This window comes from Homo sapiens, chromosome 9 (genome assembly GCF_000001405.40).
Source record: "Homo sapiens chromosome 9, GRCh38.p14 Primary Assembly".
Classification (NCBI taxonomy): domain Eukaryota; kingdom Metazoa; phylum Chordata; class Mammalia; order Primates; family Hominidae; genus Homo; species Homo sapiens.
In genome coordinates, this window is record NC_000009.12 from 70,527,538 (window position 1) to 70,541,078 (window position 13,541).

Here is a 13,541-nt window from a genome sequence, read left to right on the forward strand (position 1 = left end):
TGCCCTTACACAGCATTTGAATTTTTGTGAAAAAAAAGTTCTGTTGCAAAAATTTTATTCTCTTCTGTGATATTCTTTTGGACTTTTACTATTCATATGCAAATACATCCATAATCTATATGCCTGGTTTAATTTTTACAAAAATTGATATTAGAACATGCTATGGTCTGAATGTTGGTGTCACCTTAAAATTCACGTTCGAAACTAATAGTGTGATAGTATTAGGGATCTTTGGGAAGTGATTAAGTTATGAAGGCTTCACCATCACGACTGGGATTAGTGTCCTTTTAAAAGAGGCTCAAGGAAGCTCCCTTGCACCTTCCCCCATGTGAGGCTGCAGGAAGGTGCCATCTGTGAAGCAGAGAGCAAGCCCTTACCAGACACCGAGTCTGCTGGTGCCTTGATCTTGGCCTTCCCAGCCTCCAGAACTGTAAGCAATAAGTTTCTCTTTTTATAAATTAATCACCCAGCCTAAGGTATTTTGTTATAGCAGCCCAAATGGACTGAGACAGACCATATATGCTTCTCTGTACTTCTTTTTAAATAGACTTAAGAATATAGCAATGACATCTATGTCAATACACAAAATTTAATTATTTTTAATCATGTATCATAATCAGTTATTTTCTCCTGTTGACCAACACATATGTTGTTTCCAGTTGATTCTTGTATTCTGATTCCTTTACCTTAAAAGAAATTAAAATTGTAAAAGACCACTACATTTCCACTCACAAATTCACCCACTGTTATGGGCTGAATTTCATCCTCCCAGTACATGTAGGGGCCATCCAGGTAATGCTCTGAGTAAAGGGAACTTGAGAATGGTGGGGACTGTGGTATATTAGAGAGTACAGGCTCCTTCTAAAAGAGCACCCAAGATGCCATGATTCAGCTGATTATTGTCATATGAAAACATGGGTCTTATATTACCAGATCTTCAGGTTTTTTAAAAGAAGCTAGAAATCTGGAATTAGATGTGAAATCTGTCAATTATTTATTTATTTATTTATTTACTTTTGAGTCAGAGTCTCGACCTGTTGCCTAGGCAGGCTGGAGTGCAGTGGTGCCATCTTGGCTCATTGCAGCCTCGACCTCCTGGGTCCAAGCAATCCTCCCATCTCAGCCTCCAGAGTAGCTGGGACTACAGGCATGTGCCACCATACCCGGCTAATTTTTGTATTTTTAATAGAGATGGGGTTTCACCGTGTTGGCCAGGCTGGTCTCGAACTCCTTATCTCAAGGGATTTTCCCACCCTGGACTCCCAAAGTGCAGGGATTACAGGAGTAAGCCACTGTGCCCAGGCTCAATTTTTAAATGTTCCAAATTAAAAAAAAAAATTGCTGGCCAATAATACCCTTTTCCTACTGGTTAGATATGACCCACAGGCTACCAGTTTGCAACTTCTGCTCACCGGAACAAGTAATTTGTGGAGCCCTAGGCAATTATCTCTACTCCAAAAGTTCTTAGGATGAGGATGGTGAAGATTAGATGGCAGCAAATAAGTGCACAAAGAAGTCCAAGTCATGTTTTAAACTACTGAGTTTTTTTTTTTATTGCAAAACATTTGTTACAGAAATTTCAGAAAGTTTTTCCCGTGGTATCTGCCAACTTCTGCTCTGAATTGTATATCTAAACAATCAAACTCAAAGTGCATTGTGAATCCAATAATAGACCTTTAAAAAAGAACAATTCTTCTAAGGATTTATATATATTTATAGTGTCGATAGATATGCATACCGTGGTCCATCCATACACAAAGAAGGAAAAGATGTATATATATTCAGCAAACCCAATTTTAAAACCATTGTATTTGTAGGAATTCATTTAAAAATGATATCTGAATAATTTCCCCCATTATAAACTAGGGTTAGAACGTTTACAAATGAGAGTCTAGGTCCTATATTATGAAATGGCTATGAGTACAGTATACTGCACGTACTGTTTTTACACAGCGGTAGCAGCAATATAAACTCAGGTCAGACGCAGTAGTGACAGGAAGCAGGTAAGTCTTCATACCATGCTATGGTACTCTTCTTCTGAATCTCTCTCACAAAGACTCTGTGTTCAAGTTTAGAATTATGTGGCTAACAAATATACATGCATATATCATTCAGAACAAGAGTAACTCTGAATAAGGCGAGTTTCTTTTCCCCCCTCTCGGTTCTCAGTGTATTTTGTGTGTACACTCACCAAGTCACTATCAAGAATCTGATCCTGTTGGCTCTAAATCAGAGGTCCCAAACTATTGCCTTTGGGACTGAATGCTGCTGGCAGACATGTTTGTTTGGCTAGGACAGTGTTTGGAAAGCTGAATTTGAAGGTGTTTGTGGTGGGATGTGTATTCTGTCATGCCTTACTTACAAACCCTACTTCTGTTGACTTTCACCAGTCCAGTTCACACATTTGTGTTTTCTGGATCCGGCCCCTCCATGTGTTTGAATTTGCAGCCTCTCAGTCTATGTGCAGATGGCTGGTTTTAATGATGTGTGGGAAGCTGCGGTGAAGATGTGTAGGACTCTTGAGATTTAGAGAGGCAAAAATTGGACGAGGTCAATGTGAACACCAGCCGGGGTAGAGGCAGGAGGAGGCTAAGTTGGTGGGAAGATCAGGCCTGGGACAAAGTCTAAATGTTTGCCTTTTTCCAAGCGGCCGCTGTTTCAGCTTACTGTGCGAGGGTCAACAAGGTATAAAGGTAATGTGGGCAAGGGTCTGTTGGTCTGGTGAAAAAGCAGCTAGTCTTAGACTAAGAGAAGAGAAGCAAGAAGAGGGGAGAAAGAAAGCCGCACATCCAGGCACAAGGCTGAATTTCCCCCTTTGCCCCATAGGCCTCAGCCACCTGTCTCCTCCAGAGGAAGGCATGGGTCCTGATTGGCACTGACACTCTTTACAAAGCCTATGGACTTCTAGCCATACACATGTCTTTTCAGTTTCCAGCACACAAACATTGTGCAAACGCACAAGGGCCTGCAGGTTTAAGGAGGCTGGTAGACTAGGTAAGGTAAGGAAGGGAAAATTCACCTCATTCTTATTGCCATCTGGATTACCTGGTCACCAAAATCCTCTCTTAGATGACCTGTAGAAACAGTCACGTTGCTTTCATTAGCAGTGATGAGTGCAAGGAAATCATCAGAGAAAAGGTAACACAACTACCTTCTGAGAGGAATTAAAAGAAAAAAATTGCTTTTCCTTAATTGGAACCAGCCTTTCTTTTGGTTGACTCCAATCTGAGAGACAGAATATCCAACTTGTAAAAAGAAGAGAAAGCTTAGGTCAATGCAGGCTGAGAGGAAAGTTTTGTCTACTCATTTTAGGAGCAGTCATTTTCAAAACTGTGCAAATTGGCTCCTCTCTTTAACAGATGTTGAATGGCTTCTAGTAATGATGATTTTCTAAAAGAGTAAACTCTTTAGAACCACCCAGTGCTTCATCAGACACCCAAACACACGCCTCCCACCCCCAAGGTGAAGAAGCCACAAGACAAGGAGGGAGGTCTCTTGTCATATCATTGGATCACACATTCACAGCGATCTGCGCACTTCTGCACTATCACAAATGGACTTTTCGCTCTCATCTCCGGCTTAGCAATTTGCACCCAGTAGCTCTGAAGAATCAGAAATGTGTCTTGCATATATCACAGATGCACAACACCTAGACCTTGGCAGACCCAAGAGGTGTTGGCTTGCCACCTCTGGGTCCCATGGCTATACAACCTGCAGTTAATACTTTATTTCATATTATTTGTTCAGTGCTTAAAAAAAAGATTTAAAAATCCCTTGGTTACTTTTTTTTTGTTTTTAATTTTTCAAAACTGAACATAATCCCCATAGTAAGAAGCCCAACTGTTTGAGTGAATTCTTAACTGGCTTAAGCGTCACAGCAGGCAATAGTAAAATGTTAAGTGCCTTAGAAAAGTCAAAAGAAATGCATAAAGCAGTGCATGCATTTTGTTGACACAAAATTAAGACCAGGTTTGGAGAGAGATTACTTCATTTCAGTCACATTGTTATTGTTCAAGGATAGTGAGTTATAATGCAATATCTAGGCCAAATATATAACCACCTACACACTAGTATCACTTTATCTAGAAACAACATAGTGTTACTAAATGAACATATTTATAAAATACTGTACACTGCTTCTGCATGGGGTTGGCAGATGTAAACAGCTAATTCAACTGGAGTTTAAAATATCATTTTAAGTTCATTTGTCATATAGTCTTTTGCATAACATGCCAGTTCATCTTTCACAAAATCACAACTTGCCTACCACAGCTCGCAGGACTCATTAGAGGATATACATCAGCTTACACACATATTTTACAGTGGTCCAAAGGAACATGAAAAGCATCAAGCAGATCAGGAACAAAAATGCCCGGTTCACAAAGATGCTAAATAACATGGAATTGGGAACATAATTAATCATTGCAACATGTGTTTCTTTATTGAATGTTACAGATTTATAAATGATTATAAAGCTCTCCTGTAACGTTCATTAATACAACCACATGCTACAACTACGCTGGGTTAAACATGGGTTACATACATGTTTACATGTGTTTTATAATACAGCATTGCCCAACATATGAATGGTATAGCCTATAGATAGAGCATGATGGATGACCGGGTAATATTTATCATCTTTAAAGAAATTAAACAGCCCAAACATTCAGGAAGATTAGACTGTACAGACTCAGAAAGTAAAAAAGTACTATCCAGTTATCTACCATAATATTATCTATAGAAACCATATTTTAGAATACATTTGAAACATTCAGAAGAAACACATTTTGTGTTTTTATGAGTACATTTTTCTCGTTTGATTATTCTTATATATATATTTTAAAAGGGGAACTTTCAAAGTGCTAAATAATATCCTAGACCTGGAAACTTATACATTTAAAAAATCCAGTTCTGTAAAGTGCTGTATTCTGACTGCTAATACACCTTTTGGCTTGCAGAGATAATACAAACTAGTCATGAAAATTGTACCCAAGCTTTCCAGCTCCTCATTCAAATCTATCAAGGAGGGGCCCTCTAACTATAAATATAAAGTATATTGGTTAAGCAGGAGACCTCCATGGTCATTTTCATAAAACATCCTTAAATTTTTTTCAAAAGGAACAAGCAATTTAGAACAAATCATTACATATAGTAGTATGTAAAAATTGGCACCTTTGAAGCAGATGATTAAACCGAAGCTATTACTTCCTTGAGCTCTCTATGACTTTATTTACGGTCCTCAGTAACTTGCTGCTCATAAACTGCTTAATTCACAAAGACAGGTAATTAACGTCCCCTCGATCAGGGATGTGGTGGAATCAATGGGCTGAGCATAAGCTGACTGCACAAGGCCACAGAATCAATGCCACATTGCTGCACAGAGAACCCAGAAATGGAAGGAAATGGACTGAAAAATAACACACATACATGTGCACAGGAAGGAAATGGCTCATGGAAGTTACACAGTTTGTGTCTACAGTCATTTAAGTTTGGCTTATATATTTCACACGTTTCACAGACGTTAGAACTTAATTTTCATGCACAACAAAAGAATCAGGTAATTGCAAGATCAGGACTGTTGAGTATTTCGTTTCCCAGTTCCTATCCTTTTCTCTCTGAAATCACGATGAATGGAAACACTTGAGCTGAAAATTTCTTTCCCTCACTTCCAATCTGGCCCAGAATGAGGCCTTGGAGGTGTTTGATGTCAATGAATAATGTTTTCACCTCCTTCTTGGATTCCTCTATAGACCCTTCAGGGAGACTTCAGCATTGTGATTGTGCTTGATACTTAAAATCATCAACATGTTAGGATGTAAGTGCATTAAATTGGCAACATCTAATTTAAAGAACAAAAATAACAAAATCTTTGTTCAAACTCTGGTGCTGAGATTTGGCCTTCCTGAGAATCACAGAGAGATGGTCTCAAATGTAAAGTGCCTATTACAACTGCATTAACTACGAGCAAACATGGTTCCTTTCCCTCATAATCAATATAGAACCAGGGGCTCATGAACCCTTTCAAGTTATATTGCAACTTTGCATTATGTACATTTTTTTTTTCTTTCTGGAGAGAGAGCCTAGAGTTATCGTAGAGCCTCGTAGGGATTCATGACTCAAGGAAGTTTAAGAACGACTGATTTATTCTCAGACCCAGTGCATGTTTGCTGAGAGGGAAATAGCCAGCGTGGGGCCCAATAAAATGTTAAGTGTTTCTAGAACAGCTGTAAATAAGGGAGTCTGGGTGTTTGTTAGCAATTCACCTAAATGCCAAGGAGTGAAAAAGGAATTGTTTAATTCTTTACATATGTGACCTCATCACAATTTTTATACCTGAAATGCTTATTCAGAAGAGTTTTTATTTTGTTTTTTATCTTATATTTAAAGGCCATGTATTTACTTGATTTCACAAAATAAAGTAAAACTTGGTGTTTTCAATTATAATTAAACAAAAGAACCAGGTAGTATCTCAGGCCAGGAACAATAGATTGTTTTCCTTAAAGGCTTTATTCTTTTTTAAACGTTAATGAGCCAAATAGGAATCCAAAGATTTGGGGTCAAGATTTCTTTATCCCACTTCCAATCCAGATTCTGATCTAGAAGATTATGCCTCTACTTTAGAGTCTGTAACACTAGCTGGTTTAAAGTTGCGTGTCTATTCAGATTGTACGTGGTGTAAAAACTTTGTTTAGGAAAAGCGAGACTAAATGAGATGTCCTGATAGTGAGTGATTTCAGACAAAAAAGGGCAGAAGGCGAGCAGTGAGTCATTTTGACAACTCTAGTTTGATATGAGGAAAAGTCATAGGAATTTAAAAAATTCATAATTTCAACATTTGGTCTAATAGTATAATGAACTCTTTCAATGGAACTTCTTGTATATTAAAAAAAATCTTGATTATACTTCAAGGTGATAGAAAAGTCCAAGCCTCTTAAGAAAGCTCTTTATGTCCATTTATTTTATATATAAATATGTGTCTCTGCATAAATGCATATACATGTGTATAAGTGGCATATACTATAGAACTCTTTATATGGTTTATTTGCTTTCTATTTTGGTCTACTGTATCTTTTTTTATAGCTCTGTCTATAAGAAAAATATTCATGGTATGCTTGCAACTGATGGCTTTGGGTTGATACCAAACTCCCAGTCAAATCTAAGGTTATTTATAGTTTTGAAACTTCCTTAAAAAGTACTTTGGAACATTTCCATAGAAAAGATACCAGCCCTTGAAAAACTCCAATTAAATTTATGCTGAGCTCAGATTAGATGGCAAAACTCTAGGTATGAAAATATCCACATATAACCATATATTCATATACAAAATGGTCATGTGATGAGTGGTGTGAAAAATTGGCAGTTACGTCTTGGAGGTGTTCAGGAGGACGTGGTGGAGCCATGCAAATGATGACGGTCACACAGCAGCACAACACACGACATGAACGGTGAGAACAGAACATCCCACATGGCAATTTCAGGCTAGTTCTGTCCACTGTTTTTTTTTTTTTTTTTTTAAGTTCAATATTACATATTCAGTGAATGAATTCATCCATGACAGGTGAGATACAAAATAAATTAAAAAATATAAAATTATTTAATTACATTCTCCTGAGCTTGCTCGACTAGACTTGAACGCCCACTGTATATAATAAATCACTTGACTTTTGTTTTTTTAACATCAACTCTTCTTTCATTTCGATTGCAATACAAAAAGGCATTTCTGTTCCCTTATTTTCTTCAAAAAAGGATAAACAGTTGTGGCACCAGAAGTGAATAGATAAGAGACAGGTGAACTATGACTGTTACCTTGTTTTTTCTTTATAATGATCAATTACAGAAGTGTTGGCATGAGAAGGATGTGGGACGTTAGGTAGAACTGCTTGCTGCCGGCTTATACTGAATAAAGAGGATGCTCTTCATCAGTCACCAGTGATGGAGCCAATGTGAAAAGAAAACAGAATGGAAGTTTAGAATATCTCATTGTGTACGCTGGCTATTTTATTTTATTTTGCAATTTAGCCCTGCATCCTACAACTCTTGATAATGGTCAGAAATCAACAGATGCCTCCTGGCATGGAGCGTGCTCGAAGCCCCTTGTTTCCCCTGCTCTCATGGCTTTCTGCTGTGACTGCGGATACACATTCATCTCTAACCCTTCCTTCTCCCTCTCTTCCCCCTCCCTGCCCAGCAAGTGTGAACATGCCTTAAATCCCCTGTGTCTGGCACTGGGTCAGATCAAATGCTTTCTTGATCTGTGGCCCAGAAGTCACCTTTGAGTTAACACCTCCCAAAGCATTGCTTGTTTTGCTCAGCTAAGAATAAAGCAGGTATGATTCAAGGAAAGGGGAAAAACTGGAGTTGGAGAGAATTTTAGGGCTGGATTCTTGAGCCTTCTGTGGCGGATATTAAGAAGGTTTAGTTGTGCTTGCTTTCAAAGCTTTGGAAAGCCGATGTTCTGGACAGTCTCCTCATGGACAGGCTGTCCCCTCGGCCCTCCGGCTTGGAGGACTTGCTTCTCTGGAAGGGATTTCGCAGGCTTGCTGTGTTCCGCTGCCTGTCGAGTTTGTCACTGATGGAGAAGCTCTTCCTGGTGTGTGCATATGGCGCACTTGGCTCCTCTGCCGAGTAGCTGTTGGCGCGCTCTATCTTGGGAACAGTGATGTTGTTGGACAGGGTTCTCTCTGAGTTATCACCCTCCTGGGAGGATATTGCAATGGTGGCTCTGCGGCCTTTGGCCTCATTCTCCTCACTGTCAGAGCTGGGGTGACTCAGTTCTGCTTCTCGCTCTGGATGGCAGCAAGTTAAGTCCTCCACTTTGTCTCCAAGACCTCCAGGGAAGGCAGCTCTGTCCGCAATTGCTTGAGGGGCATTGACACACCTTGTGTCAATACAGTCTGTAATACTTGTGTATTCTGCTGTTTTTACAGGCACCCCAAAGTTGGCATAATAGCTCCTTGAGGGGGAAAACATAAAGCTATGAGATTTCACAATGGGAGCCTCTTCTAGAAGAAAGGGTGTGGTGGCTAGGTAGCGGCTACTTTTGGAACGCTCAATGGTGTGGTACATCGGAGGCTCTGAGTCCCAGGGGTTTTGGCATTCTGGGAGGTGGGTGTAGTCTGAAGAAAAAGATCTAGTGTCCATGGAGGTGATGTCCTCAAAATCAATGCTCCGGCTTGGAGGTCTGTCTGTGGGTGCAAGTGTTGCATAGGCACTACTTGAAGGGGCTGTGGAAGGTACTGGAGTTGAAAAGCTTGGCTCGCCCAGCCCAAGGATGTTCACGGAATTGTCCAGAGGGTCTATATCACAGTGGAGCTCATCCATAGCAGAGACATAGATGTCTATACACGATGATGGTCTTCTGGAATCAGGAACAATGGCCAAGGTGTTGGCAGGGGCTGCAGGAGCTTTGGGTTCTTTTGCTACAGAGTGGGAACTAGTAGCCCGGTGTAGGCTCAGGGACCTTTCTTTAAAAATACTTTCCAACTTTTCTATACCACCTTTGTCTTTCATATTGACCGAATAGAAAGAATGGCTTCGCATACGGGGCATTAAGGTTGGAGAAGTTGGGGACATGGTCTCCTCACCTGCAGGGTCTATACTCTCTTGGAGCTTGAAGGTGTTCCCTTCCTGGCTGTTGAAGCTGCTCTGACGGACAATGTAGGCGGCGTCCGTGCAGTCTGACGAGGTCCTCGAGCGGATTTTGTTGGACTCGGCCCGCTCCAGACCTGTCAGGCGCTCCAGGGCCGTGGCCATGCGCCCGATAAGGTCTTCCAGCTGCGCCAGCCGGATGTCCACGGTCTGGAGTGAAGCCTTCATGGAGTGCTCTCTCTCGTTGACTTCCTCCAGCCGCATAGACATGTTCTCCACCCTGCGCGAGGAAGAGAGAATGAGAGTCACTCGGCCTGGTTCCTCTGCTGGGGCTTTAGAGAGCAAGGATAAAGGGATCACAGCTGTGCCTGACCTTGGTACCTTCAATGGAAGACAGGTTACAGGTGTTGAGAGGGGTTGGGGAGGAGAGAATGACATTGATGCTGTGAAAGAATCACAGAATTCAAATCTTTTTGAGCTAGAAGAGGCTTTAGAGATTATCTAATCCAATGATTTTTTATTGTTTTAGCTATCAATCCCCTTTTCCCTCAATGAAATGGAATGCACAGTCCTGATAAAAAGGCACTAAAATGGAACAGTTCTTATTGAAGTAGAGTGGGGCCAAGTCCACCATGGCCTAGCTGTGGCTTGGGGCAGGGTGCAATGACCTGACTAAGCATCCAGTTGTTGGCTTCTCAGGGTCCCCCACAAAATGAGAATGTTGCATTTTGAGGATTTTACCCAGAATTTTGCAATGAAATTTTAGAATCTAGCTATTTTTATTGCAATACACATGTAAAATGAGTATTCCATGGATGGGGGTTATTTTTATTTTGCATTTATACAATAATTTTTGTTATTCATGATAATCTTTTTAGAATGTTGTGTCTCCAAAGGAATTAATATGGCCCAGTTACTGAGGCATCCAGGATTGATCTAATCTAATCCAATCCCTTCATTCATAAAGGAAAAGCAAAAATTAAGAATTTAACCAAGATTGCATAAAGCAATTTGTTGTAAACATTGGAGTATCTGTCAATAAGTCAATTCTTCTACTCCTCTCTCTGTCTCTCCCTCTCTGGTTAGCTGATCACAGATGCCTTATATTACAGTTATTGCTAGAACTCTCTATCCTCCCATTGGAAATTCTTTTCTTTTTAAAATTAAATTAAATTAACTTTTTTAGAGATGGGGGGGGTCTCACTTTGTTGCCCAGGCTGGTCTCAAACTCCTGGGCTCAAGTGATCCTCCTGCCTTGGCCTCCCAAAGTGCTGGGATTACAGGCGTAAGCCACCATGCCCTGCCTTTTGTTAGTTTGTTTGAGACAAGGTCTCACTCTGTTACTTAGGCTGAAGTGCAATGGTGTGATCATGGCTCACTGCAGCCTCAACCTCCCAGACTCAAGCGATCCTCCTGGCTCAGCCTCTCTAGTAGCTGGGACTATAGGTGGATGCTACCATGCTAGCTGTTTTTTAAATTTTTTGTAGAGACAGGGGCTTGCTGTGTTGCCCAGGCTTGTCTTGAACTCCTGGGCTCAAGTGCTTCTCGTGCCTCAGCCTCCCAAAGTGCTGGGATCACAGGTGTGAACCCTGGAAATTCTTAGGGGCATGGTTTGTCTCATATTCCTGTTTTCATTTCTATGTGGCCAACCTAATACCTGCCAGGTGTCAACAAATGGGTCAATGACATTTACGAACTTGATTTCAATTGTCACTCAGTCTGCCTGGCCATTTAAGACAGAGGCCACATATTAAAAATAAAATCATACCTTATTTTTCACTTGCTCAAATTAACTTGGAAAGGACAAACCAAAGCCAAGTTACAATTTGAGCTCAAACTTTCACTTTTAAATGTCCAAAGACAAACCTTTTGGTGAATTTAAATGAGACCCATGCACAACTTTGCTGAAGAGGATTAAAGTTACTTTTTCCAATCCTTCCAATATGCAAAGTAAATCATTTGACTGCTGATTCTTAAGGCACTTGCTGCAGGAAGACCATGGCTACAGAATATGCTTCACAGTGAATGTGGGAATTAGGCTGGGCCCCTGCAGTCTGTGGGGGTGGTGGTGAGGTTTTAATGACAGCAACACTTCTATTAGGGAAGCACATACACTTCAATGCCAGAAGCAGGTTATATAATACAAGAGGCATGTGGATCTCTGGGAGACCTATAGACTTCTTAAAAACCTCCTCTCCTGCTGGCCAGGAGCATGGGGGTGTGACTCCCCTGCCTTGGGGCACATTTCTGCCTCTCTCAGGACCCCCCACCCCGACTCTGCTTTTATCTTTCAGCTTCCCTTCACCCAGCCAAAGGTCCCAGCCTGCCCTCAAGAGCCCTGCTTGTAATTTTTTTTTTTTTTTTGCTCCCTCCTGCTGCCCCATAACCAACCCAATGCATCTCAGGGGCCAGGCACACTCTGCCACCATCCCCAGGTGTATTCCCAGAAGACTTGTACATTGAGCTATTCTGTATCTGGCAAACTCAACGCCATGCACTCAGCTGACACAGCTAATTCAGAAGGAAAATACAGCTTTTCCCTCTTTCACTTCATTCTGTCCTATAAACATAGCCCAAGAAACAAAATTACTTACAATAACAAGTTTGTGTGTCTCATAGACTTGGAATTACTTTTTCACTATCTAGCCTATGGAGTTTGATTTTGCAAGTACTGTAGTTAAATTTTTTACAATGCAATCTGTTATATTTATTTCTTTATTTATGTTTGAGACAAGATTTCACTCTGTCACCCAGGCTGGAAGGCAGTGGTGCAAACATGGCTCACTGCAACCTTAACCTCCTGGGCACAAGTGATCCTCCTGCTTCAGACTCCCAAGTAGCTGGGACTATAGGTGAGCACCACCATGCCCAGCTAATTTTTTGAAACATTTTTTATAGAGCTGGGGTCCACTATATCGCTCAGGCTGGTCTTGAACTCTTGGGCTCAAACAATCCTCCCGCCTCGGCCTCCCAAAGTGCTGGTATTACAGGCATGAGCCACTGCACTTGGCCAATAAACTTTGTTAAGTGTATAAAGTACTTGTTCATTGAAGTCCAGAGGAGGATAGATCATGCATTTCTGTAGCACGAGATGTTTTGCTTAACATACTTTAGGTATTGGGTCTCACTAGCTCTCTAGTGCTAGGAGAGTAATAAGAGGCAGGGGAGGTTTATTTCTCCTTCTCCCTTTCTCTCTGGAGCCCAGTGTGTACAATGTTGGTACTGACAGAGATGAAGTTGTTGTTTTGACCTAACCGTAGTCACTGGTCTGAGTGCTGTGAAGTATCTCCTTGCCATGGCCTGTGCTGTGGGGTCTTCTCTGTCCACATCCCACCCCTGACCTTCAGCCCCAGGATCCAACACTATAGAGAAAATTTGTAGGTGAGAGGCAGAGCTGATGCACCAAAAACACGTAACAGAAGAGTCAGGACCTAAAAAGCCATGTGTCCCTATAGCCCCAGCTACTCAAGAGGCTGAGGTGGAAGGATGGCTTGAGCCCTGGAGTTTGAGAGTGCAGTGAGCTATGACTGTGCCCCAGCACTACAGACAGCCTGGACAACATAGGGAGATCCTGCCTCCTGTTATTTAGTATTTATTTTTATTTTATTTTTTCCTGAGACAGGGTCTCACTCTGTCACCCAGGCTGGCGTGCAGTGGCACGATCATGGTTCACTGTAGTCTTGACCTCCCGGGGCTCAGGCAATCCTCCACTGTAGCCTCCTGAGTAGCTGGAACCACAGGCATGCACCACAACACCCAGCTAATTTTTGTACTTTTGGAGAGACAGGGTTTCACCATGTTGCCTAGGCTGGTCTCAAATTCCTGATCTCAAGTGATCGATCACCCGCCTCAGCCTCCCAAAGTGCTGGGATTTTCACAGGCAGGAGTCACTGCACTCAGCATTGGTCCAGAATCAGAACCTGGTTGCCTGGACGTAGGCAGTAAACTGGACA

The 13,541-nt window shown here is 41.4% G+C and overlaps 1 protein-coding gene and 1 long non-coding RNA gene across 21 annotated transcripts in view; one reads left to right on the top strand and one right to left on the bottom strand.

Moving 5' to 3' along the window:
- KLF9-DT (KLF9 divergent transcript) overlaps window positions 1-13,541 on the top strand; it is a 136,304-nt gene that overhangs the window by 113,348 nt on the left and 9,415 nt on the right. The gene's annotated exons all lie outside the window — the stretch shown is intronic.
- TRPM3 (transient receptor potential cation channel subfamily M member 3) overlaps window positions 1,523-13,541 on the bottom strand; it is a 917,912-nt gene continuing 905,893 nt past the window's right edge. For 11 of the 19 annotated variants that reach the window (NM_001366141.2, NM_001007471.4, NM_001366149.2 and 8 more), the window contains one exon: window positions 1,523-9,868. In NM_001366141.2, coding sequence (NP_001353070.1) covers window positions 8,416-9,868 — 1,453 coding nt within the window. In that variant the 3' untranslated portion in view covers window positions 1,523-8,415. The remainder of the gene's footprint in view (window positions 9,869-13,541) is intronic. The other 8 variants (NM_001366143.2, NM_001366142.2, NM_001366150.2 and 5 more) reach the window with 1 other exon arrangement.